At 44.9% G+C, this 27,170-nt stretch overlaps 1 protein-coding gene across 12 annotated transcripts in view, besides 4 other annotated features; it reads right to left on the minus strand.

Moving 5' to 3' along the window:
* The window catches only part of PHF8 (PHD finger protein 8), a 112,257-nt gene extending 97,025 nt beyond the window's left edge, over window positions 1-15,232 (minus strand). For 4 of the 12 annotated variants that reach the window (NM_001441096.1, NM_001184896.1, NM_001441098.1 and 1 more), the window contains exons 1-2: window positions 11,171-11,432; window positions 8,927-9,116 (exon numbers count right to left, since the gene is read on the minus strand). In NM_001441096.1, the coding sequence (NP_001428025.1) occupies window positions 8,927-9,116; window positions 11,171-11,186 (206 nt within the window). In that variant the 5' untranslated portion in view covers window positions 11,187-11,432. Of the gene's footprint in view, window positions 1-8,926; window positions 9,117-9,406; window positions 10,770-11,170; window positions 11,433-11,720; window positions 11,811-15,200 lie in introns of those variants that run through there. The other 8 variants (NM_001184897.2, NM_015107.3, XM_005261996.2 and 5 more) reach the window with 7 other exon arrangements.
* Window positions 10,441-10,690: an enhancer, noted in NCBI's record as "active region_29668". NCBI's record gives its function as "activates an Ori minimal core promoter by ATAC-STARR-seq in GM12878 lymphoblastoid cells {active_cell/tissue: GM12878}" and the evidence as "EXISTENCE:reporter gene assay evidence [ECO:0000049][PMID:35858748]".
* Window positions 10,711-10,880: a silencer, noted in NCBI's record as "silent region_20860". NCBI's record gives its function as "represses an Ori minimal core promoter by ATAC-STARR-seq in GM12878 lymphoblastoid cells {active_cell/tissue: GM12878}" and the evidence as "EXISTENCE:reporter gene assay evidence [ECO:0000049][PMID:35858748]".
* Window positions 10,901-11,360: an enhancer, noted in NCBI's record as "active region_29669". NCBI's record gives its function as "activates an Ori minimal core promoter by ATAC-STARR-seq in GM12878 lymphoblastoid cells {active_cell/tissue: GM12878}" and the evidence as "EXISTENCE:reporter gene assay evidence [ECO:0000049][PMID:35858748]".
* Window positions 14,692-14,986: a silencer, noted in NCBI's record as "tiled region #9958; HepG2 Repressive DNase matched - State 3:PromF". NCBI's record gives its function as "represses a minimal TATA promoter and a strong SV40 promoter by Sharpr-MPRA in HepG2 cells {active_cell/tissue: HepG2}" and the evidence as "EXISTENCE:reporter gene assay evidence [ECO:0000049][PMID:27701403]".

The following is a 27,170-nucleotide window of genomic DNA, read 5'->3' on the forward strand; positions in this document are numbered from 1 at the left end:
CTCCATCTCAGAAAAAAATCATCATCATCATAATAAAATAAATAAATACATAGAAAGTGTCAGCAAAAATTAGCCAGGCATGGTGGTATGTGCCTTTAATCCCAGCTACTTGGGAGGCTGAGGCAGGAGAATCACTTGAACCCAGGAGGTGGAGGTTGAAGTGACCCAAGATTGCACCACTGCACTCCAGTCTAGGCCACAGAGCTAGACTCTTGTCTCAAATAAAAAAAAAAAGAAAGTGTCAACAAAAAATAGAAAATCTCTTCAAACAAATAGAAGATATAGAAAAGAATCTAACAGAATTTTTAGAACTGAAAAATACAGTAACAATGAAAATTCTTTAGTAACTTAAATGAAAATTCAACAGCAGAATGGAGAAAACAGAGAAAAGAATCAGTAAGTTGAAGATAGAACAATAGAAATTATCCAATCTGAACAACAGAAAGAAAACAGATTGGAAAAAAAATGAACAGAGCCTCAGCAACCTACAGGACTACAACAAAAGACAAACCGGAACAAATCCACACTAAGACATGGCTTAATCAAATTCCTAAAAGCAAAAGACAAAGGAAAAATCCTGAAAGCAATGAGAGATAAATGACACATTACCTCAAGGAGAACACCAATTTGAATGACAGAGGCTCTCTCATCAGAAACCATGGAGGGCAAAAGGAAGTAGCAGAACAGTTTTCAAGCGCTGAGATAAAAGAACTAGAAACCCAGAGTTCGATATGAAGTGAAAAGATCCCCTAAGAATTCAAGGGAAATCAAGATATTCTCAGATTAAGGAAAACTAAACGTATCTGTTGCCAACACTTATCCTAAAAGAATGAGTAGGCTGGGCACAGTAGCTCATGCCTGTAATCCCAGCACTTTGGGAGGCCGAGACGTGTGGATCATTTGAGGTCAGGAGTTCAAGACCAGCCTGGCCAAGATGGTGAAACCCCGTTTCTACTAAAAATACAAAAAATTAGCTGGGCGTGGTGGCGGGCGCCTGTAATTCCAGCTACTCTGGAGGCTGAGGCAGAGAATTGTTTAAACCTGGAGGGGCGGAGGTTGCAGTGAGCCGAGATCACGCCACTGCACTCCAGCCTGGGCGACAGAGCGAGACTTCGTCTCAAAAAAAAAAAAAAAAAAAAAAAAAATCAGCCAGGCATAGTGGTGCATGCCTGTAGTCCCAGCTACTGGGGGGTGGGGGGCTGAGGTGGGAGGATCACTTGAGCCCAGGAGGTTTAGGCTGCAGGTGAGCCGTGACTGTTCCACTACACTCCAGCCTGGGCAACACAGCAAGACTCTGTCTCAACAACAACAAAACGATTAATTAGATTATAAACAAAAGAGCATTAAGGCATATAAAGAAAAGTAAAGTTTCAACCGGACATGGTGGCTCACGCTTGTAATCCCAGCACTTTGGGAGGCTGAGGCGGGCAGATCATGAGGTCAGGAGTTCGAGACCAACCTGGTCAACATAGTGAAAACTCGTCTCTACTAAAAATACAAAAATTAGCCGGCTATGGTGGACCACACCTGTAGTCCCAGCTACTCGGGAGGCTAAGGTGGGAGAATCGCTTGAACCCAGGAGGCAGAGGTTGCAGTGAGCCGAGACCACATCATTGCACTCCAGCCTGGGTGACAGAGTGAGACTCTGTCTCAAAAAAAAAAAGGAAAAAGAAAAGTAAAGTTTCTACTCTTCAATCAAACTGGTAAAATGTCAAGAGCAGTTGCTTATGGTAAGTTATATGTATAATGTAATACCTAGAGCAAGTACTGAAAAAAGCAATACAGAGATAACTCGGGCCAAGAGCAGTAGTTCATGCCTGTAATCCCAGCACTTTGGGAGGCTGAGGTGGGAGGATCATCTGAAGCCAGAAGTCCAAGACCATCCCAGGCAACAAAGGGAGGTACCACCAACCTACACCCACACCCTCCCCACACAAAAAATTTTAAAAATTAGGGCACACAGTGGCACATGCTTGCAGTTTCAGCTATTGTAGAGGCTGAAGCATGAGGAGATTGCTTAAGCCCTGGAATTTGAGGCTGCAGTAAACCATGATCAAACCACTGCACTCCAGCCCAGGTGACATAGAGACCCTGTCTCAAAAATAAATGAATGAATGAATGAGTAGGCCGAGTGCAGTGGCTCACACCTGTAATCCCAGCACTTTGGGAGGCCGAGGCAGGCGGATCACCTGAAGTCAGAAGTTCAAGACCAGCCTGACGAACATGGAGAAACCCCGTCTCTACTAAAAATACAAAATTAGCTGGGCGTGGTGGCACATGCCTGTAGTCCCAGCTATTCAGGAGGCTGAGGCAGAAGAATCGCTTGAACCTGGGAGCCGGAGGTTGCGGTGAGCCAAATCGCGCTCCAGCCTGGGCAACAAGAGCGAAACTCCATCTCAAAAAAAAAAAAAAAAAAGAAAAGAAAAAAGAAAAAATCAGCAAGGATTAGAAGAATTCAGCAACACCATTAACCAACAGTAGTTAATTGACATTTATAGAACACTCTACCCAAAAATGGCAGAATACACATTCTTTTCGAGTGATCATGAAACATTTACCAAGATAGACTCTGGGCTATAAAACAAATCTCAATAAATGTAAAGGAATTGAAATCATACAAAGTATATTCTCTGACCACTATCAAACTAGAAGTCAGTAACAGAACGATAACAGGAAACTCTACAAAAACTTCAAAATTAAACAACATACTTCTATACTTCATGGGTCAAACAGGAAGTTTCAAGGGGAATTTAAAAATGCCTTGAGGCAGCAGGAGGATCACTTTAGCCCAGGAGCTGGAGGCTGCAGTGAGAGCTATGATCCTGCCTCTGCAGTACCGCCTGGGCAACAGACTGAGACACTGTCTCAAAAAAAAAAAAAAAAAAAAAAAAAAAAACTTTTTTTTTTTTTAATGCCTTGAACTACATGAAAAGGGAAAATGTAACATATTAAAATCTATTGGTGCTGAGAAGAAACTTAACAGCTAAAGGCTTACATTAGAAAAGAAAGAAAGGCCGGGTGCTGTGGGTCACGCCTGTAATCCCAACACTTTGGGAGGCCGAGGCGGGTGGATCACCTGAGGTCAGGAGTTCGAGACTAGCCTGGCCAACATGGTGAAACCCCATCTCTATTAAAAATACAAAAAATTAGCTGGGCGTGGTGGCGAGCGCCTATAATCCCAGCTAGTAGGGAGGCTGAGGCAGGAAAATCACTTGAACCCGGGAGGTGGAGGTTGCAGCGAGCCGAGATCGCGCCATTGCACTCCAGCCTGGGCAACAGGCTGTTTCAGAAAAAATAAAAAAAAAAAAAAAAAGAAAAGAAAGTCTCAAATCAATAATCTAATCTCCCACCTCAAGAAACTAGATAGAGAGCAAAATAAACCAAAGGAGGAAAAAAATAGTAAAGGCAGAGATCTATTAAATTGAAAACAGAAAGACAACAGAAAAAGTCAATGAAACAAAAAGCTTGTTCTTTGAAAAGATCCATAAAACTGACAAACCTCTAGCAAGTCTGACAAATACGAAGACAAATTTTTTTTGTTTGTTTGTTTTCGGTTTTTTTGAGACAGGGTCTCGCTCTGTCACCCAGGCTGGAGTGTAGTGGCATGATCACAGTTCACTGAGGCCTCAACTTCCTGGGCTCAAGCAATCCTCCCACCTCAGCCTCCCGGGCAGCTGGGACTATAAGCATGTGCCACCCACCCTGCTAATTTTTGTATTTCTTGTAGAGACGGGGTTTTACCATGTTGCCCAGGCTGGTTTTGAACTCTTGGGCTTAAGCAATCCACCAGCCTTGGCCTCCCAAAGTGCTGGGATTATAGGCATGAATGACATCACATGCCCAGCCTGATACATTTTTAGTATCACTAATGAAACAAAATTATCACTACAGCACCTGAAGATATCAAAAGGATAATAAAGAAATACTATGAACAATTCTACAAACATAAATTTGACAACTTAGATGAAATGGGTCAATTCTCGGAAAGTACACATCCAACATAAAATAGGTAATTTGAATAGTCCTATAACTACTAAATGGAATAATTTTTAAAACTCCCCCAAAAGATAAAGATAATTAGGCGAAGTGGTTAGCATAGTGAGTGGAACACTAGCTTGTGCTCAATAAACGATAGCTATAACCATTTTATTTAAATCATCACAACCTCTCAGGGAAACTAAGGCTTCACAGATAAGAAATTATTTGCTAATATGTAACAGAATCAGAATTTGAACCCAGATCTGAAATCAGTGTCCTTTCCTCTAGAGTTAAAAATCCACACCAAAGTTATTCCCTTGGGCATGTATCAACCAATATTTCTTTTATAAACAGGAAAACTGTAGAGTGAAATTTGTGCTAAAAATCCCAGAAATCAATAAATGCTTGCCAACTAGTTTTCTCCACTATTGTACAGCAATGATTCTCAAATGTTAGGGTGAATCAGGATCACTTGTTTGTTAAAATATAGACTGCTGAGTCCAAGTCCTAGCCCAAGAAATTGCATTTTGAACAAATTCCCAGTTGATGAACTGTACTTTAAAAAAGGTCGTTCCTCCTGTGTTAGCTCACTTAGGAATTAAAAAAGAATAATATAAAAAGAATGTTCATTCCAATTTTTCTGTACCAAAAAAAGAGAATGACTGGTGTACAGTAATGATATGTTAGTCCATCCATCCCTCAGTATCAGAAGCTATCACACTCCGCAGAAGGGGAAGGAATCAAGACAGGATAATGTTCTAAATCAGTGGTTCTCAAGGGTGGGCCCTTCTTACCTACTGAATCAGAAATACTGTAGCTAGGGCATCCCTAACTTGTGTTTCATCAGGTCTTCCAAGTGAGTCTGATACATGCTGAAGTTTGAGAACCACCGCTGTACAAATCAAAGTGTTTTTGCAAAATCCAGCTTCTTACAGGAAGAATGAAGCAATACCATGTTTTTTGCACTTCTGAGAACCTGGGCTCTGGAATCAAATAATTCAAAGTTCAAATCCACACTCAGAAAGTCACTTAACTTCCACGAATTCCAGATTCTCAGCTGCAAAATGGAATAGTTGCCTCGCTTGTTATAACCTTTCCAAAAAGTAACTTGGCATTATATTCCATAATCCCTAGCTGGACTTCAAGAAATCTATCCTACAAAAGTCACTAGAGGCCGGGCATGGTGGCTCACACCTGTAATACCAGCACTTTGGGAGGTCAAGGTGGGTGGATCACGAGGTCAGCAGTTCGAGACCAGCCTGACCAACATAGTGAAACCCTGTCTCTACTAAAATACAAAAATGAGCCGGGTGTGGTGGCGCGCACCTGTAATCCCAACTACTCAGAAGGCTGAGGCAGGAGAATCACTTGAACCCAGGAGGCAGAGGTTGCAGTGAACCAAGATCGTGCCACTGCACTGCAGCTTGGGCAACAGAGTGAGACTCTGTCTCAAAAAAAAAAAAAAAAAAAAGAAGTCACTAGAGATATGAACAGATTTCTATCACCTCTAGGTATCTGTGGATTTAAAATTTGTTGGCTTAACTCTTGCAAGCAACCATAAAAAGTCCACAGTATGTAGTAATTTCCAATTGTGCTGAAGTACAAACTTAAATGGCGCACTATAAGCCTGGTGTGTTTCTGTGAGCAATGCACTGAGTAAGCAAGAGCAGCCACCCCCAAGGACCTGATTCTCAGCTAGCTTCCTTGTTCAGTGGGGGCCCATAGAGAGAAGCAAAAGAGATTTTTAAAATTTGGTGTATTTCATGGAAAAAAATTAAGGCAGTTAACTTGTGTTAGAGTGTACACAGAAACACACAACTCACCACAGAAATGTGATTAAAGAGGGGCCTGGCCCATAAGCCCATTTCTGTATTTGTAAGTTTAGAATTCTTTAAGGCCTCAATGGTGCTCCTTATAAATAAATGTCAAGTATCTACTAGGCAAAGATGCTTTCCATAATGTTTTTGTTTTAATCAGCACTCATATCAAGATGCAAAACCTTTCCAGAACGCCCAAAGTTTCCTCACATTATTTATAATATAAAAAAGTACAAATAATGTTCAAAAAAGTACAATGTCCAACCATAAAGGAAATTACCAAATTAACCGGTGACACATATATATTGTGGGATATCAGAAATCAAGTTTAGCTGAATATTTAATGAACTGGCAATTACATTGTAACATTAACTAGAAATAAAAAATAGGTTGTAAAATGGTATTTATAACGCAATCCCATCTTGTAAAAATATGTTTATATTCTAAGTCAAAAGATGGGAGTTAATGCAACAACAAATTTAACAGTGGATTGTGCCAGACAGTAGTAGACTTAGGTGAGTTATATTTCCTTCTTTATTCTTTTTCTGTGTTTTCTACAACAAGCAGGTCTCACTATAAGAGCAAGAAAAAATTAAGAACATTATTTAAAAGAGAAATATCCAACTTTCAGGCTTGCATATAGACTAAATAATTTGTCCCAAGTCCCTGTCATGGGGTCCGGCAGACATAAGCAGTCAGGAAGCATTCATTCCTGTTCCCTGTTTCCAGAGTGAGGAGTTAGCAGGAGCCCATTTTACAGGTCTGAACCTACACATTTCCCATACAATCCAAAGTAAGGGCCCCAGGCAACAGCTTTTTTTCATGAAGACTCATTAACTCATTCAAAAATGTACTCAGCATCTATTACATGTTTAGCACTGAACTAGGTTCTGGGGATACCAAAAATGAAAAGAAGACATCTCTGCCCTCAGGAAGCTCTGGCTAACGAATGACACAGATATATTTATAACTATGATATGATTAAATAATTACTTTTTAATAAAGACGCACACAAAGTGCAATGGGAACCAAGAGGAAGAAGGACTTTTACACCTTTTACAGTCTGTGAGTTGCAAAGGGGAGAGGGCATTAGTGGGAGTTTGCACGTACAAAGACAAAAAGGCATAAAGGAGTATAAAATTTTCCCAGAACTATAGGTAGTTCAGTCTTGCTAGGACATAAAGAACAAGAGAGGAGGAGTGGCAGGAAATGAGAATAAACAAGTAGATCACAAAAGGTCTTGTCTGTCATATAAAGGATACTGAATTTTATCCCAGAGACGAACCACTGAAAGAAGAATGTTAAGCTGAGGAGTGACTTGATCAGCACTAGCAAAGACACCAGGAATCCTGAAAGACATCTTAATCCCCACTTATTTTCAGGGCAAAGGAAAAGGTCCCACCCTCTAGGGTTGTCCCCTCTTAAATAACATGAGGCAGTAAAACAGAACTCTGTGCCGGGCACACAATAAATATTCAATAGAGATCAGTTAAACATGAATTTGGATACGGGGCAAGGGGGCAGTCCCTGCTGAGGGCAGGATTTTAGCAGCACCAGCACCTATAGTTTGGTCTTGAGTGTGATAAACAGAAATAGCTTGCTGGGCATAGTGGCTCATGCCTGTAATCCTAGCACTGTGGGAGGCTGAGGCGGGCGGATCGCTTGAGGTCAGGAGTTTGAGACCAGCCTGGCCAACATGGTGAAACTCCATCTCTATCAAAAAAGTACAAAAAAATTTGCCGGGCGTGGTGGCGTGCACCTGTAATCCCAGCTACTCGGGAGGCTGAGGCACGAGAATCGCTTGAACCCGGGAGGCAGAGGTTGCAGTGAGCTGAGATCATGCCATTGCACTCCAGCCTGGGTGACAAGAGTGAGACCTTGTCTCAAATAAAAAAAAAAAAAAAAGAAAAAAGAAAAAAAGAAAAAGAAATAGCCCCTCTGGAGGAGACCAGACAACTGAAAATTCTAGAATCTAACAAGCAACAGGAGGAGGGTGCCATACACTGTTTTGTTGTGCTCCAGTGTACAAAGCCCCCTCAAGGTTGTCTTTCCATAGCTGAGATTTAAATCCCATTAATGAAATATTAGTTTTATCGTACACACTAACCTCTCCGGAATTCTGGGTGACAGGTGCTTATGTGCACACACGGTTAACTGAAGGAAATTCATCAGTGGTTTTACTCCTGTTTTACCCAGCATCTATTCTGCTTAATTCAATTTAGTTGGATGGTGCTGCAGATAAATGCTGTAGAAATAAAATACTCTTCCATTTCTGCCTCCATTTATGGAGTACATCCAAACTGCTTTGCAAAGTCAGAAAGGATGTATTTGATAACATTTTATAGCTGAAGACAATGAGGCTCAGAAAAGCAAAGCAACTTGTGCATGGTCACTCTGAAACTAAGTACAAAGCCACAACTTAAATCCCTGTTTATGGACTCAACTACCTCAAATAAGCAACACTGTTTTCCCAAAAGCCAGTGTGTGAGGCAGAACATAATTGTCAGACTATAAAAATGATGACCGGGCACGGTGGCTCACGCCTGTAATCCCAGCACTTTGGGAGGCCGAGGCAGGCAGATCTCCAGAGGTCGGGAGTTCCAGACCAGCCTGATCAACATGGAAAAACACCGTCTCTACTAAAAATACAAAATCAGCTGGGTGTGGTGGTGCATGCCTGTAATCTCAGCTACTTGGAGGCTGGGGCAGGAAAATCGCTTGAACCTGGGAGGCAGAGGTTGCTGTGAGCCGAGATCGCGCCATTGCACTCCAGCCTGGGCAACGAGCGAAACTCCGTCTCGAAAAAAATAAAACAAAATAAAAAATAAAATAGAGAAGAATATAAAAATGATTCTTTGTAACAGGAAAGAAAAGGGGGGGGGGGTCTTATAAATCTAAAAAAACACTCAAAAGAAAAGTGCAAAGAAGAAATACATAGGGGAAAACACAGGAAAAGGAGAAACCAGAGGCTAATGTCAGCTAGGTCCTGTTCTGCAAGGAGAGATGGCAGAACCTGAGTCTGGGAGAGGGGGTCCTGAGCCGGAATCTAAAAACAGAGCTGAGAAAGGAAGAGAGAGCAAGTGAACACACCTGGCCACCGCACCCTGTGTAGCCTGGCCTGCCCTCCTTACCTGCCATGAAACCAGTCCTGGCACATGTCACACTCGATCATGAAGCGGGTCACATCGTAAGGCAGCCGGCAGAGGCAATACACCGGCACCGAGGCCATCTTCGCTCGGCCCTGGAGCGTTCTGCGGCCGGCCAGGTTCGTCGTGTCAAGAGGGGCGGGAGGCGGCAGCACGCGTCCTCTCTGGACGATAGCTAGGCACAAATAACACTTTTTACAGAGTGAATCAGCCCCCGCCCCCCACCCCCTTGCACCAACCCTCAGTTCTCCAATAGAGTTACCGCCGCCGGGATGCAACACAGCTGGTGCGGCTGTAGGGGGCAACCAGAGAAAGTCCACCCGGCCCTTAGAATTTCTTTCACACGTAAAGAACGGAGCTCAACCTTCCAGGCTTCCCACCGCCCCCACACTCTCCACTCCCCACCCCCCACCTTCTTCGGCCCCGTTGTCAGTGATAACTTCTTTCCGGGTTTCAAGAAAATACCTGAAGCCTTTTCGGGAAGCTTCTTTCATCTCTCACTGAACCCTCCCCTAGCTGACCCCTGTTTCACAGGGCTCCCTCTATTATGACGCAAACCACAGCGTCAAAAATGAGGCTGGGGGTATCTCAAGACAAGACCCTCCTCTCACCACCTGAAATAGGGCCAACCAGAGAGAGATAAGGGATCCCTGAAAGTCTCTTCAGGTTACTCAAAGCCTTCACGAACAAGACAGACAAGACTAGGCGCCCAACTCAAATCACAGTTCTGGGGTCGTGTTCGGAGAGTTTAAATAATCCTTTCCATCACTCTCAATATCATTCCTTCCCCGACCAGTCAGGAGTCTCATCACCCCCAAAACTGAAATAAATATAAATCTCTAAACTGACCAGCTCGTTCTGTACTTTAAAGATGACAGGGTTCTGGCTGCATCCCTGAAACTCAAAAGGATCTATTCAAAACCCCTCAAACTGACTAGAATTTCCTCACACTCCCGAAACTAAGCAAGGATTCTTTTGCATCGCTCGGAAACTGGCAGCGTTTCCTTGCAGCCCCCCCTCAAACTGATGAGAGCTCCCTAGTCTCCCCAAATGTTCAGGTACCTCACAGTATATCCTAAAACTGACAGTAATAGCCTCGCAGCCCCCAAAACTTACAGGAATCTTAACGCTTCCCCAACTGACAGGAACCTCCTCACGCCCCAAACCTGACAAGAACGTCTTCAGTCCAGAATCCTACAGGGACCTCCTCATGCTTTGGGCTGCAAGGACTCCACGCCCGCGGAGCTCAGCCCCAGCGACACGCCGGCAGCCGGGCTAGCTCCGGGACTGCGAAGCGCCTCAGCGGAGGCTCGTCCGGTAGTTCCGGCCCCTACGGCGACGCGCGTCGAATTCTGGGATAGTCCCCGTACCGCCGGGAACCTCGCTCGCCTTCCCCTCGAGCCCCCCGCTGGGTCGCGCGGCGCCAGCCGCTCAACGGTGCTTCAGAGCAGCCTCCTCCACAACATTCCCCTCGGCCCGGCCGTTCGGGCCTACTGGAGACCGCGGCTTGGGCCTAGTCTGGCGGCCGCCCGGCGAACGGGCAAGTGGCGTCGTCGCTGGGCCGGCAGGAGATACTCGCGAGCAAACCAACGGGGAAAGAGATGAACCGGCCGCCACGTCCGAGGCACACGGCCCGAAAAGTCGCTGGGAGAAGCCCAGTGGCGGTGGTAGGCAATTCGGAGTAGTCAATAAAGTTTATTCAAAACAATGAGGAAGTTGAGGCGGAGAGGGGAGGAGAAATACGGGATAAACAGCTACCATGTTGAGAGTGGCGGCGCTACCCAGACAACCAAGGCGACCGCCATCTTATGAGGGCTGGACTCGCGAGGTGAGCGCGGCGGAGGCGGGGAACCGCGAGCCGCCGGCTCCCGGGTGACGTCATCGGGGGGGCGGGGCGCCACCTTGAGAAAGGAGGGCGGTTCTCAGCCACCTTTGGACCCGCTCGTCTCTTTAAGGTGCCCAATCGCCGCTGAAGACCTTGAGCCCAGAGGCGGAGAAGCCGCCATCTTAGGCGAGGCAGACGTTTGGCTCCATTTTGAGTGGGGCCCGAAACTTCCTAGCCTTCCCCCTCCTCCGGGCAAACAGGGAGTTCAGCTACCCCGACTCGCACACTCCTCCTCCCCAGCCTTCTCCTCCTATGAGAGGAGGTGAACTCGGTGACTCCAAACTACAAAATTAATAGGTGGCGGCGGGGGCGGGCTTCAGCCGGGGTAGAGGCGGAGTACTCACCGCGGCTCCTGTTCATTGAGCACCTTCGATAGGCTGGGCTCTTTCCCACGGTCTCTGCGTTGTTGGTTCTTCCCCCTGTGAAGGAAGCTCTGTGATTATCACCAAATGAAGGCAGGGGCTTCGAGAAGCCAAGTGACTTGAGTCCCGGAGCAGGGACGTTGAACCTTGTGCCCTGTGCTACCCGCGTTCTGTCCCCAGGCCCTCAGTGTAGTTCCTCTGTAAAGCTGCTGCCAACTCCACAACTCCCTCTGAACTCTTCTTTGACCCTACTGTTTCACTTCAGTTCAAATACAGTTCAAGGATTTGTTTGCACCTGTCCCACAATTTTCTGACTATAGCCTGAGGGGAGGGGAGAGGAGGGGGGATGAGAGGAAAGGCTGAGTTAGTGGAGCTTTGCTGAGTTAGTGGAGCTTCGTACATATGCTTCAAGATGGCCTAGGTTTTCTCAAACATTCTAGAAAATTCTCTAGGAGTTATCTTACTATTTCATTTTCTTAAAGGGTCCCATTGCTTTAAAAAGGAAATGTGTGCGTGCACACAATTTACTAACCAGTGATGGTGGGGTAGGCCCTGGGGATGCAATGGTGAAAACAGGGCCTCTGGAGTGGGAGGGCATCTGCCAGTGCAGGAAACAAAGTTGCGAGTAAACAATTGGAATAGAAGGCACAGTAAGCACACAAATACCACCTGCAAAATGACCTTTGCAAAATGCAACATGAAGCTACAAAAGAGCCTTACAAGCTGCTTGCAGCTGCTGTAAGAAAGACGGCAGGGGGACATGGACGATTAAGTTCACTTAAATAAACAAGCGAGAACATTGTACTCAAAAGGATCAACGTGTACAAATGCATGGAGGCACATAGAAAAATATTTACTAGAAGTTGAATATTGTTGGAACAAGGAAAACAGAAGAGAGATAGGTAGGAGGTCAAACAGTAAAGGGTCACAACATGAAAGATTGCGAAATGCAAAAGAGTTTAGATTGTATGCAGTTAGCAAAAAGAAAACACAGGTTTTTGAGCAGGGGTAGCTTAGTCTCATATTTGTGACTTACCCAGAGGATGGTTTAGGGTTTTTTTTTTTTTTTATGTTTGTTGTTTTAGAGACAAGGTCTCACTCTGTCAACTCAGGCTGGGCGGTCATAGCTCACTGCACCCTAGAACTCCTGGACTCAAGCGGTCCTTCCGCCAGAGCCTCATGAGTAACTGAGACTATAGGCGCACACCACCACACTCGGTTATTTTTTATTTTTTATAGAGCCCAGGCCTCGCTATATTGCTCAGGCTGGTCTCAAACTCCTGGTTTCAGATCCTCTAAAAGCGCTGGGATTACAGGCCTGAGCCACTGCACTGAAAGGTCCAGGTTTAATGGGACCTGAAGCTTATATGGTTTGGGGGAGGAAGGGTGAGACGTCTTTAAGAAAAAAATAGCCGGGCGCGGTGGCTCATGTCTGTAATCCTAGCACTTTGGGAGGCCGAGGCGGGCGGATCACAAGTTCAGGAGTTCGAGACCAGCCTGGCCAACATGGTGAAACGCCATATCTACTAAAAATAAAAATATTAGCCGTGTGTGGTGGCACATGCCTGCAGTCCCACGTACACAGGAGGCTGAGGCAGGAGAATCGCTTGAACACGGGAGGCGGAGGTTGCAGTGATCCGAGACTGTGTCATTGCAGTCCAGCCTGGGTGACAGAGCGAGACTCCATCTCAAAAAAAAAAAAAATGACTTATGAATACAAAATTAGGTTCAAAGGTAGGCAGTAAGAGTATTTCTACAAGCAATTCCTTCACCTGGGTAATAATTACGAAGAGAAGTGATACAAGGCACATGTAAATGTACCATGGGGCCGGGTGCAGATTGCATGTCTGTAATCCCAGCACTTTGGGAGGTCAGGATGGGAGGATCACTTGAGCCCAGGAGTTCAAGACCAGGCTGGGCAACATAGTGAAACCCTGTCTCTACAAAATAAAAATAAAATGAATTTTTAAATAACAAATATCCCATGAAACCCAACCTAAATATATCCCCCAAATCAACTTCCCCTTAGGTGGATCTCAAAAATGTCAGGCAGCTCCAACACCACCTAATGCAAGGGAAAGTATGGCCAGGCCCTCAGTGGAAAGGGACAGCACTTTGAACCAATTGTTGTTTAAATGTATTTTGTGAACTTTATAAAACACATCACCATGTGACCCTATGGAAAGTGACAGGTCCTGCAGTTTAAGATGTCTTAGCTTCACAAGGAGTCAGGAGGAATGAGGCTGTTTCACTAGTGTTGGGGGGAAAAAATTGGTCCAGGATAGTTTGGGAAAGGGTAGAAAAAGATGAGATAATTTGGATATTTTGGAGGTTGACTAGGCAGTGTTTGGAAACTGATAATAGCAGATGAGTGAGTGAAAGGGGTGTGAGTTCACTTCTGGGTTGAGTGTCAGCATAGATGACGGTGCCACTGAATGAACTGGGCTACGCAGAAGAGAAAACAGATTTGGTGGGGAGGAGACTAAATTTAATTTGGACTATGTTGAGTTCAGGTGTGTGTGGAACATTAATTCCCTCACCCAACAGTTCTTTATTAATCTACTATGCATCATGCACTGTGCTAGGTGCTGAGGATGTTGAGGTACCCCAGATAAGGCCCTGGCCTGCATGCAGCTGACAGTCTACTGGCGGAAACAGTCAATGATCAAATAAAATTTCATTAATATGTGAATTTCATTCACATATTTTCTTGAACACCTACTGTTAGGCACTGGGGATTTAGGGGTAAACAAAACAGACAAGTCCCCGCCCTCCTGTGACTCATTTCCAGCAAGGGAGACGGATAAAAAGTGAGGCAAATCAGAGAATTTCCAATTGAGGTGAGTGCTATCAGGAAAGTAAGACCAGTTATGAGATAGAGAATGATTTGAAAGGAAAGCAGTCTATTTTAGATAAGGTAGTCAAGGAAGGGTTCTCAGAGAAGGTGACAGGAGCTGAGACCTGAATAACAAAAAGAGCTAGCTAGGGACAAAGGCAAAAGGAATCAAAAGTGTTGGCCGGGTGTGGTGGCTCACGCCTGTAATCTCAGCACTTTGGGAGGCCGAGGCGGGTGGATCACGAGGTCAAGAGATCCAGACCATCCTGGCCAACATGGTGAAACCCCATCTCTACTAAAAATACAAAAAATTAGCTGGGTGTGGTGGCACGTGCCTGTAGTCCCAGCTACTCAGGAGGCTGAGGCAGGAGAATCGCGTGAACCCGGGAGGCAGAGCTTGCGGTGAGCCGAGATTGTGCCACTGCACTCCAGCCTGGGCGACAGAGCAAGACTCCATCTCAAAAAAAAAAAAAAAAGTGCTAAAGCCCTAAGATGGGGGCAAGAGGACTGGGTGGGCTACAGGTGGGGGTCAGGGTCTCCAAGCCTGAATTAGAGACCCTGTGTGTACCCTTAGGGAATAGACGATCTAATAAATTAACAAAACAAGGAGGCTGGAAAAGGTCAAACCCTAAGTGCTACATAGAGGTTTGAGCAACCTGTGTGGTGTGGGAACAAAGAGGCAGTCACAGTTAATTCAAACACATTCAGTGGGTGTGTGAGGAAAGGCTTCACAAGAGGTAGCATTGGACCTAGGTACAGTGGTTCCTACCCCGACTCCTAAAATTCCTCCCCAGTGTCCTTGAGAGGTGGGGAGTGGACAAAGGATATTAGGAAAGGCAAAGCTGCCAGGGGTCTGAACCAGAGGCAGTCAGATTTGCTGACAAAGCAAGTCTTGCCACTGCTAAGGATGGGAGGCAGCTGGCTGCTGCCCTGGAAATGTGTGGACTGGTCCAGTCTCAGAGGATGCAGCCCATGATGGGACCTGGCTGCCACAGCACCAGGCTGCCCTGGAAGCCTACCTCCCCCATCCCACCTCCATTTAACAGTTGTAAACATTTATTTTTAATAACACAGATTCAGTTCCATCCCATTGTAATGTAAATGCATTCCCATTATAAACATTCAAACAGCCAGGCTGAACTTTCCCCGTGACAGGGCATTTCAATGCCTGCTTACCTCTCTAGAGGGAACCTCAGCAGGATCTTTTCCAATTCATTTCTCTACATATATGTTATAGCTATTGAGGTAAAAAAAAAAAATGATGAGGGCTACAGTGAACTATAAAACACATGAGTGGAAAAGGGGGGATTGGGGGGAAACTTACATGAGGAAAAACAGGTGTCCTCTGAAACAGACTTGAAAGTACAAGGACAGTAAAAACAAAAGACAAAATAATACTAAATAACATTATCTGAGAACTTACTGTGCTAAGCACTGTTACAAACTCGCTACAAGCATTAAGTCACTGAATCCTTAGAACAACCATATGAAGTAGATATCAATACTGTTAGCATTGTATGGATGATGAAGCTGAGTACAGAAACTTTAATTCACTTGCTGGAGGTCACTTAGCTAGTTTGTATCCTAGCAGGGGTTCCTGGTGATACAGGCTCAGAGACCAGGCTCTTAACCACTCCTTTATACCACTAGTGTGGATTTAACAGCAACTGGTGTATAAATGTAATGGGAAGGTAATCAATTAATGGTTCTTTGCATAATTTGAAACACAGAAACAAAATGTGGTTTGCACACACTTGAAATAAAAACTAGCAGGATGGTGCCCCAGGTGCCAAACTAAGCAATGGAGAACACCAACCCACGCCTCCAGGGCCAGCTTCATGGGCGTGCCTGTTCACCGAGCTCTGCTCCTAGAAGGGGCCTTAGGCTTGGTTTAATGTAATGCTGTGGCTGTCTTGAAATTGATAATTTTATCTTTGAGCTTGTCTTTTCTAAGTGTAGTCCACTGTGACAATGGATCATGGACATGAGCAGAAGGGATATGCTAAGTGGCAGCACCCACAGCCTATGGAAACTGCAGGCAATGTGCATGCCACCAAGCAGTTTGACAGGCCGCCTGGTGTGCAGAAACACACCAGAGGGGGACATCAGGGCCCAGAGGGGACGTCAAGCCAGTGACTACAGTGGCAGCAGTAGCAAAAGCAGCAGCACAGGTAGCAGTGGCTATAGATCTGGGAGAGAGGAGGGCCTCTGTGCAGGAACAGTGAGGAGACCTGTTGTGAGAGGCAAGCTTGTCCTGTCACCAGGGCCTGTACAAAGATTAACGCTTTGGCCTGCATACTGGCACAGGAACTGCTGGCACTCAGGCAGTAAACTTTGCAAGGAAATGATTATGAAATAAACGAGTACCCATGGACATTGCAGTAAAGTGTATGGAGAGGATTATTATAATTTTTCAAAGAGTTTAGAATCTCTGGTTTTAAAAACTGGTGCAACACAGCAAAACAAATATCCAAAGGCTTAGAAATAGAAATTAAAATTAAAGATTGTCACAAAAGACACATTAAATGAAAAGTTTCAGATAAAATATCAATGAAGAAGACAATATAAAAGTTTCTTCCCTGTAATTGAAGAGACAGGCCAGGCGCAATGGCTTATACTTATACTCCCAACACTTTGGGAGGCCGAGACGGGGAATTGCTTGAGCCCAGGAGTTTGAGACCAGTCTGGACAACAAAGTGAGACCCTATCTCTACTAAAAATTAAAAAACAAAAAATTTGCTGGGTGTAGTGGTTCGTGCCTGAAGTCCCAGCTACTCAGGAGGCTGAGGTGGGAGGATTGCTTGAGCTTTTGAGGTCAAGACTGCAGTGAACCATGATCTCCCATTGCACTCCTGGCTGGGCAACTGAGTGAGATGCTGTCTCAAAACAAAACAAAACAAAATAAAACGACAACAAAAAAAGACCAGCCTGGGCAACAAAGTGAGACCTCGTCTCTATAAAAAATAAAAATATTAACATATTAGCCAGGCATGGTGGTGCGCACCTGTAGTCCCACCTACTGACGAGGCTGAATCGGGAGGATTCCTTGAGCCCAGGAGGTCAAGGCTGCAGTGAGCTGTGATCCCACTACTGCATTCTAGACTGGACAACAAAGTGAGACCCTGTCTTAAAAAAAAAAAAAAATGAATGTGGCCGGGCACAGTGGCTCACGCGTGTAATCCCAGCACTTTGGGAGGCCGAGGTGGGCGGATCATGAGGTCAGGAGTTCGAGACCAGCCTGGCCAACATGGTGAAACCCCATTTCTACTAAAAACACAAAAAAAATTAGCTGGGTGTGGTGGTGGGTGCCTGTAATCCCAGCTACTCGGGAGGCTGAGGAAGGAGAATCACTTGAAACCAGAAGGCGGAGGTTGCAGTGAGCCGAGATGACGCCACTGCACTCCAGCCTGGGCAACAAGAGTGAAACTCTGTCTCAAAAAAAAAAAAAAAAAAAATGAAGTTGCGGCCGGTGGCTCATGCCTGTAATCCCAGCACTTTGGGAGGCGGAGGCAGGTGGATCACCTGAGGTTGGGAGTTCGAGACCAGCCTGACCAAAATGGTGAAACCCCCATCTCTACTAAAAATACAAAAATTAGCTGGGCGTGGTGGCACATGCCTGTAATTCCAGCTACTTGGGAGGCTGAGGCAGGAGAATCACTTGATCCTGGGAGCGGGAGGATGTGGTGAGCTGAGATCACGCCATTGCACTCCAGCCTGGGCAACAAGAGTGAAACTCTGTCTCAAAAAAAAAAAAAAAATGAAGTTGCTAAAAATGTTGATGACCAAATAATTGAATTTGCAGAAAAGGGAGTCAGAAAAATCTTATGATCATGATATATTAATAACACTATTTTTGCCGGGCACAGTGGCTGTCACCTGTATTCCCAGCACTTTGGGAGGCCGAGGTAGGTGGATCACTTGAGGTCAAGAGTTTCAGACCGACTTGGCCAACATGGTGAAACCCCGTCTCTACTAAAAATACAAAAATTAGTAGGCTGTGGTGGTGCACACCTGTAATCCCTGCTACTAGGGAGGCTGAGGCAGGAGAATCACTTGAACCTGGGAGGCAGAGGTTGCAGTTAGCCAAGATCGTGCCACTGCACTCCAGCCTGGGCAACAGAGTGAGATTCCGTCTCAAAAGAAAAAAAAATCATGTAAAATTATAACAAAAATATTTTTCTGTAATTTGTCATTATTCATGCATTACTATTACACTTACTATGTTTTATAAGTAAAAACATTTTTTTTAAGGAAACAAAATTTTTTTTTGATACAGAGTCATGCTGTGTCACCCAGGCTGGACTGGAGTGCAGTGGCGTGATCTCTGCTCATTGCAGTCTCTGCCTCACAGGTTCTAGCGATTCTCCTGCCTCAGCCGCCCAAGTAGCTGGGATTACAGACAGGCGCACACCACCACATCTGGCTTTTTTTGTTTTTAATTTTTAGTAGAGACGGGGTTTTACCATGTTGGCCAGGCTTGTCTCCAACTTCTGGCCTCAAGTGATCTGCCCACCTTGGCTTCCCAAAGTGCTGGGATTATAGGCGTGAGCCACCAAGCCCGGCCTAGGAAAAAAACTTTTTTTTTAAATTTTATTATTATTATACTTTAAGTTTTAGGGTACATGTGCACAACGTGCAGGTTTGTTACATATGTATACCTGTGCCATGTTGGTGTGCTGCACCCATTAACTCGTCATTTAGCATTAGGTATATCTTCTAATGCTATCCCTCCCCCCTCCCCCCACCCCACAACAGTCCCCGGTGTGTGATGTTCCCCTTCCTGTGTCCATGTGTTCTAATTGTTCAATTCCCACCTATGAGTGAAGCCCACTTGATCATGGTAGATAAGCTTTTTGATGTGCTGCTGGATTCGGTTTGCCAGTATTTTATTGAGGATTTTTGCATCAATGTTCATCAAGGATATTGGTCTAAAATTCGCTTTTCTGCTGTGTCTCTGCCAGGCTTTGGTATCAGGATGATGCTGGCCTCATAAAATGAGTTAGGGAGGATTCCCTCTTTTTCTATTGATTGGAATAGTTTCAGAAGGAATGGTACCAGCTCCTCCTTGTACCTCTGGTAGAATTCGGCTGTGAATCCATCTGGTCCTGGACTTTTTTTGGTTAGTAAGCTATTAATTATTGCCTCAATTTCAGAGCCTGTTATTGGTCTAGTCATATGCGGGATATAATCTCCTGGTGTGCCATTTTTTAAGCCCGTTGGAAAAGTGCAGTATTAGGGTGGAAGTGACCTGATTTTCCAGGTGCCGTCTGTCACCCCTTTCTTTGACTAGGAAAGGGAATTCCCTGACCCCTTGCGCTTCCCAGGTGAGGCGATGCCTTGCCCTGCTTCGGCTCATGCACGGTGTGCTGCACCCACTGTCCTGCACCCACTGTCCAGCACTCCCCAGTGAGATGAACCTGGTACCTCAGTTGGAAATGCAGAAATCACCCGTCTTCTGCGTTGCTCATGCTGGGAGCTGTAGACTGGAGCTGTTCCTATTCGGCCATCTTGGCTCCACAGGAAAAAACCTTTTTAGGTTGGGATCTTTAATTACACTTCCCCTCCTTTTTTCTTTTTTTTTTTTTCTTTTGAGATGGAGTCTCGCTTTGTCGCCCAGGCTGGAGTGCAGTGGTGCAATCTCGGCTCACTGCAACCTCTGCCTCCCAGGTTCAAGCAATTCTCCTGCCTCAGCCTCCTGTGTAGCTGGGACTACAGCTGCCGGCCACCATGCACGGCTAATTTTTGTATTTTTAGTAGAGATGGGGTTTCACTATGTTGGTCAGGCTGGTCTCAAACTCCCAACCTCAGGTGATCCATCCACCTCAGCCTCCCAAAGTGCTGGGATTATAGGCGTGAGCCACTGCACCCGGCTTTCTCCTCTGCTTTTTGAACGTGAGGCTCTCCATTCCATTTTCACGTTGTGCTGGGCTTCACCAATTATGTAGCTGACTCCCATGCCTACTTGGTGGTAATTGTGAGGTGAACTGGGATTGAAGCCACTCAAACAGCCTCACTGCTCAAACCAAAATCCTCTCCACTGGGAGTGGGGGTCCGGGTGGGTAGTGGCAGGATAGTAACACAGAAATATGGAGGTTGGTGTGGGTATTTATCATTTTCACATGAACAGGATCATACTGTTCAATCAAATTAGGCGGCCAACTGCTTTCTTCAGTTGACAATAAGTCTTGGAGATCTTTCTACCAAAAAAACAAAAAAAAAATCAACTTTATTTTTTGTTTTGAGATGGAGTCTCACTCTGTCGCCAGGCTGGAGTGCAGTGGCGTGATCTCGGCTCACTGCAACCTCCACGTCCCGAGTTCAAGCGATTCTCCTGCCTCAGCTTCCTGAGTAGGTGGGACTGCAGGCTCGAGCCACCATGCCCAGCTAATTTTTGTATTTTTAGTAGAGACGGGATTTCACCATGTTGGCCAGGATGGTCTCGATCTCTTTACCTGGTGATCCACCGACCTCAGCCTTCCAAAGTGCTGGGATTACAGGCGTGAGCCACTGCGCCCAGCCAACTTTCTTCTTTTTAACTACTGCAGGGAATTCCATCACTGGGGAAGGAGGCAGTCTTAATCTATTTCTCCTCTCCCTTGATGGATATTTAAAGTGGTCTTAATTTTTCACTATTACAGGGCTGCAGTGAACATCGCCGTAGGGACCTCTTTGTGCCCAGGCATGTTTCTCTAGATGGACACTCAAAAGAAGGTTACTGAGTCATGGAGTGTAAATATTTTGCTCACGCTTGTAATCCCAGCACTTTGGGAGGCCGAGGCAGGTGGATCACGAGGTCAGGAGATAGAGACCATCCTGGCTGACACGGTGAAACCCCGTCTCTACTAAAAATACAAAAAATTAGCTGGGCGTGGTGGCAGGCGCCTGTAGTCCCAGCTACTCGGGAGGCTGAGGCAGGAGAATGGCATGAACACAGGAGGCGGAGCTTGCAGTGAGCCGAAATCACTCCACTGCACTCCAGCCTGGGTGACAGAGCGAGACTCCGTCTCAAAAAAATAAAATAAAATAAAAATATTTTCAATTTTAATACATACTGCCAACTTGCCCTTCAAAGGCACTATGCCAATTTTTGAATACCATCAGCAGTGTATCTTCACATTTCCTAGGACCCTGGCATTTAGGTTGTTTTGTTTGTTCGTTTGTTCTTTTGGAGACAGAGTTTTGCTCTTTTTGCCTGGCTGGAGTGCAATTTTGCAGCCTTGGCTCACTGCAACCTCCGCCTCCCAGGTTCAAGTGATTCTCCTGCCTCAGCCTCCCAAGTAGCTGGAATTACAGGTGTGTGCCACCATGCCCACCTAATGTTTGTATTTTTAGTAGAGATGGGGTTTCACCATGTTGGCCAGGCTGCTCTCGAACTCCTGACCTCAGGTGATCAACCTGCCTCGACCTCCGAAAGTGCTGGGTTTACAGGTGTGAGCCACTGTGCCCAGCCTTTTGGATTGTTTTACAATCTGACTGATGAAAAATGATAACTCATGTTTGTTTGTTTGTTTTTAATTTGCATTCCCCCATCACTATTGAAGTTGAGCATGTTTTCATATGATGTTTATTATTGGCCCATCCTCTATGAACTATTTGTAACCTTTGCCTATTTTTTCTTACAGCATTGTCTTTTCCATGTTGAGTTGTAGGAGTCATTTATATTTCTAGATATTAATCCTTTGTCTAAAATGTATGTTGCTAATATTTTCCCACAGTATGTAACTTGTTTATGGTTTGTGTTATCATGCAGAAGTTTTCAGTGTTTATATAGTTTATACTTACATCAATCTTTTCTGCTATGGTTTTGCTGCTTTGTTTATTGTTTTAGAAGACCTTCCTTATCCAAAGTAACAACCATATTATCTTTTTTTGTTTTTCTGTTATGATACTTTCCATTTAGATCTTTAATCTACCTTAAACTCATTTCCTCCTCAGAACCTTTGCATTTCTCCTATCTGGAACTCTCTTCCCCTACATCTTCCTATGGCTGACACCTTCAGAGATCAACTCAAATATTGCTTCTTCAAAGAGGCCTTCCATGGCCACCCTAACTAAATTAGCCACTCCTCTCTCTGCCAAGATATGCCCTATTATCTTGATTATTTTCTTCAAAGATCACCTCCCTCTGAAGTTACCTAATTTGTTTATTTGTTCATGGTTATTCTCCCCTTAGATTGTAAGCTCTGTCAGAGTACAGACTTTGTCTTGTTCCCAGCTTCTAGAATGCTTTTAGAGTTTTAGTTAATTTGATATGATGGAGGGATATAGCTTAATTTTTTCCAAAAGGATAGATGATTGTCTCAACATCAGAACTCCCTTTTCTAAAAGAAAATTTTTATTTCAGTTTTCTGTTTTTCTATCCTATTAAGTATTGAGGCCGGGTGTGCTGGCTGACGCCTGTAATCCTAGCACTTTGGGAGACTGAGGTGGGCGGATCACTTGAGGTCAGGAGTTCGAAACCAGCCTGGCCAACATGGTGAAACCCCCATCTCTACTAAAAATATAGCAAATTAGCCAGGCGTGGTGGTGGGCACCTGTAATCCCAGCTACTTGGGAGGCTGAGGAAGGAGAATTACTTGAACCCAGGAGGCGGAGGTTGCAGTGAAGTGCTAGGATTACAGGCATGAGCCTTGTGCCCAGCCCAGAGTATCATATTTTTAAAATCTGCTTTCACTATGTCTGGAGTGGAGGCCCAGCATCCCTAATTTTATTTTGCTTTTGTAGAAACAGGGCCTCATTATGTTGCCCAGGCTGGTCTCAAATTCCTGGGCTCAAGCAATCCTCCCACCTTGAACTCCCACAGTGCTAGAATTACAAGTGTGAGCCATAGCACCAGGCCAACCTCCTTAATTTTAAATTTCACTGACTTGACAAGTAATATCAATGTTCACCTGGAAAAGTAATAATGAGAACATTTCTGAAAAAAAAAGAAAATGACAGAAAACAAGTTCTGTCAGATATTAAAAATACTACAAAGCGGCTGGGTGCGGTGGCTCATGCCTGTAATCCCAGCACTTTGGGAGGCTGAGGCCAGTGGATCACCTGAGGTTGGGAGTTCAAGACCAGCCTGACAAACATGGAGAAACCCCATCTCTACTAAAAATACAAAATTAGACGGGCGTGGTGGCACATGCCTGTAATTCCAGCTACTCGGGAGGCTGAGGCAGGAGAATCGCTTGAACCTGGGAGGCGGAGGTTGCGGTGAGCCGAGGTTGTGCCATTGCACTCCAGCCTGGGCAACGAGAGCAAAACTCTGTCTCAAAAAAAAAAAAAATACTACAAAGCTTAGCCAGGCGTTGTGGCACGCACCTGTAGTTCCAGCTACTTGGGAAGCTGACGTGGGAGGATCACTTGAGCCCAGGAGGTGGAGGCTACAGTGAGTCAAGATTGGGCCACTGCACTCCAGCCTGGGCAACAGAGTGAGACCCTGTCTCAAAAAAAAAAAAAAAAATACCGCAAAGCTAAGATGATTAAAACAGTTTAGTATAGTAAAAAGAATTAGATTGGCTGGGCATGGTGGCTCATGACTGTAATCCCAGCACTTTGGGAGGCCAAGGTGAGTGGATCACCTGAGGTTAGGAGATCGAGACCAGCCTGGCCAACATGGTGAAACCCTGTCTCTACTAAAAATACAAACATTAGCCGGGTGGGGTGGTGCGTACCTGTAATCGCAGCTACTCGGGAGGCTGAGGCAGAAGAATCGTTTGTGGTGCGTACCTGTAATCGCAGCTACTCGGGAGGCTGAGGCAGAAGAATCAGTTGAACCTGGGAGGTGGAGGTTGCAGTGAGCTGAGATTGTGCCATTGCACTCCAGCCTGGGTGACAAGAGCAAAACTCCGTCTAAAAAAAAAAAAAAAAACAAAAGAAAAAAAGAATTAGATCAATGGAACAAATAGATTCCCTAAGTAGACTCAAGTACATTAAAAAAATAATTTATGATAAAGGCCACAATTGAAATCAATGGAGAAAATGGTGCTGAGATAACTGGCTAGTTGGTAGTGAAGGGGTGGGGGAATTATCTTTATCTTACTCCTTATACCAAAATAGAATTCCAGGTGTATCAGAAGTGAAAGTAGAAAAAAGTGAAAACAAAATAATTTTGGAAGAAAATGTTAATGTACTTATTTGTACTCTAGAAATGGGGAAGGCCTTTTTTTCTGAGACAGAGAAAAAAAGCCTCTGTTGTCCAGGCTGGAGTGCAGTGGCGTGATCTCAGCTCACTGCAACCCTCGCCTCCCAGGTTCAAATGATTCTCCTGCCTCAGCCTCACAAGTAGCTGGGATTACAGGTGTGCACCACCACACCCGGTTAATTTTTGTATTTTTAGTAGAGACGGGGTTTCACCACGTTGGCCAGGCTGATCTGGAACTCCTGACCTCAAGTGATCCACCTGCCTCGGATTCCCAAAGTGCTAGGATTACAGGCATGAGCCACTGCGCCCAGTCCAGGAAGGCCTTTTTAAAGCAGAATCTCAAACTCAGATGCCATAAAGAAAAAGACTGATAGATTTGTATGGAAGTTCAAAGCTTTGGGAGGTAAAAAATACCATGAACAAATTCAAAAGATCAGCAAAACTGGGAAAACATATTTACAACATACATGACAAAGGGCTAGTTTATTTATGAGGAGTTCAGAAAAATCTGTTAAGGCTGGGCATGGTGGTTCACACCTGTAATCCCAGCACTTTGGGAGGCTGAGGCGGGCGGATCACTTGAGGTCAGGAGTTCGAGACCAGCATGGTCAACATGGTGAAACCCCATCTCTACTAAAAATACAAAAATTAGCTGGGCATGGTGGCTCATGCCTGTAATCTCAGCTACTTGGGAGGCTGAGGCAGGAGAATCACTTGAGCCCAGGAAGCAGAGGTTGCTGTGAGCTGAGATCGTACCACTGCACTCCAGCCTTGGCAACAGAGCAAAACTCTGTATCAAAAAAAAAAAAAAAAAAAAAAAAAGAAAAGAAAGAAAGAAAATAAAAATCTGTTAAAAAAAAAAGGCAAAACCCAATAATAAATGAGCTAAGAAATAAGCAAGTAGTTACAGAGAAAGACCTAGATACATCAACAGTGATTTGAAAAGATATTCATCCTCATCCATGATTAAAGAAATAGAAATCAAAACAATAAAATACCATCTTTTCTTATTAGATTGGGACAATTTTTAAAGTCTGATTACATACAGGGCTAGTGAGGGTATGAAGAAACATACTGTCATATGCTGCTAGTGGGACTGTAAGCAAGTGCAATCTTTTGAGGGTACAGTTTGGATATATCTATATCTATCTCTATATCTATCTATATCTATCTATATCTATATATCACACACATACCCCTTAACTAAATGTTGTAGGCTTTGCTAGTACCTTCTCAGCAATCGTTCCCCACTTTTTCCTTCCTAACAATTCCTAAATTTTTATTGTGTATCCATTCCTTCCACTTGTAGCCCATGTATTTTGGAGTAAATTGATCCTACTCCCACTTCTTCTGGTCACAGACATTATTAATTCAGGGGAAGACTTGTGACCTAAACAAGCCAATTAGGGCAAGTCTTGGGAGTCCTGCTTGGAATGCTGGGTCAGATGTTTTCTCTTTCCTGCTAGACTTAAAGGAAGAGACTCACAGCCTCCATTGCCACTGGCAGCCATCTTAGGGTCACCTTGGCCAAAGCAATGGCTTTCTATCTTAAGCATGCATCAGAATCACTTAGTTTGTTAAAACACAAATTGCTGGTTGCTACCCCCAGCCCCTGCAAGTTTCAGATTCTGTAGGTTTGAGGTAGGGACTGATAATTTGCATTTTTTTTAGGGTTTTTTTTGTTTTGTTTTTTAGTTGGAATCTCATTATTCTGTTGTCCAGGCTGGAGTGCAGTGGTACTGTCTTGACTCACTGCAACTTCTGCCTCCCGGGTTCAAACGATTCTCCTGCCTCAGCCTCCCCAATAGCTGGGATTACAGGCGTGTGCCACCACGCCCAGCTAATTTTTGTATTTTTAGTAGAGACAGGGTTTCGCCATGATGGCCAGGCTGGTCTCGAACTCCTGACCTCAGGTGATCAACCTGCCTCGACCTCCCAAAGTGCTGGGATTACAGGCGGAACCACCGCACCCGCTTGATAATTTGCATTTCTAAGAAGTTCCCAGATGATAGTGATGCTGCTGGTCCAGGGATCAAGGCAGAGTGATGGGTCTACACATAGAAAACTACCTGGAAAAAGTATGGACTGCAAAGTGGAAAGACGGAAAGAAACTGGGTAGCTCTAGCTCACCCTACTGCTGGCTGGAAGTGTATTTTGTTACTCGCAACCAAAAGCATCCTAACTGATACACCCAGCAATCTTGCCATTACAAATTTATCCTATGGATATCCTTGCAGAAGTTCACCAAGATATGTGCACAGGGATGATCACTGCAGCATTGTTTGTAATAGCTAAAACTGGAAACAAAGCACTTATGAATAGGGAATTAATTCATCTAATGGAATAGTATGTAGTGTTAAAAATTATTAAATATAGGCTGGGCGCGGTGGCTCACGCCTGTAATCCCAGCACTTTGGGAGGCTGAGGTGGGCAGATCGCCTGAGGTCAGGAGTTTGAGACCAGCCTGACTAATACGATGAAACTCTATGTCTATTAGAAATAAAAAATTAGGCCAGGCATGGTGGCTCACGCCTGTAATCCCACCACTTTGGGAAGCCGAGGCGGGTGGATCAACTGAGGTCAGGAGTTCAAGACCAGCCTGGTCAACATGGTGAAACCCCATCTCTACTAAAAATACAAAAAATTAGCTGGGTGTGGTGGCGGGCACCTGTAGTCCCAGCTACTCGGGAGGCTGAGGCAGGAGAATGGCTTGAACCCAAGAGGTGGAGGTTGCAGTGAGCCAAGATCGTGCCACCGCCCTCCAGCCTGGTGACAGAGCAAGACGCCATCTCAAAAAAAAAAAAAAAAAAAAAGAAATACAAAAATTAGCCGGGCGTGGTGGCGGGTGCCTGTAATCCCAGCTACTCAGGAGGCTGAGACAGGAGAATCGCTTGAACCCAGGAGCCGGAGGTTGCAGTGAGCCAAGATCGCGCCATTGCACTCCAGCCTGGGCAACAAGAGGGAACCGTCTCAAAAAAAAAAAAAAAATTAAATATATACTGCTCGGGTGATGG

The sequence above is a fragment of the Homo sapiens genome, chromosome X, assembly GCF_000001405.40.
Source record: "Homo sapiens chromosome X, GRCh38.p14 Primary Assembly".
NCBI classification, from domain to species: domain Eukaryota; kingdom Metazoa; phylum Chordata; class Mammalia; order Primates; family Hominidae; genus Homo; species Homo sapiens.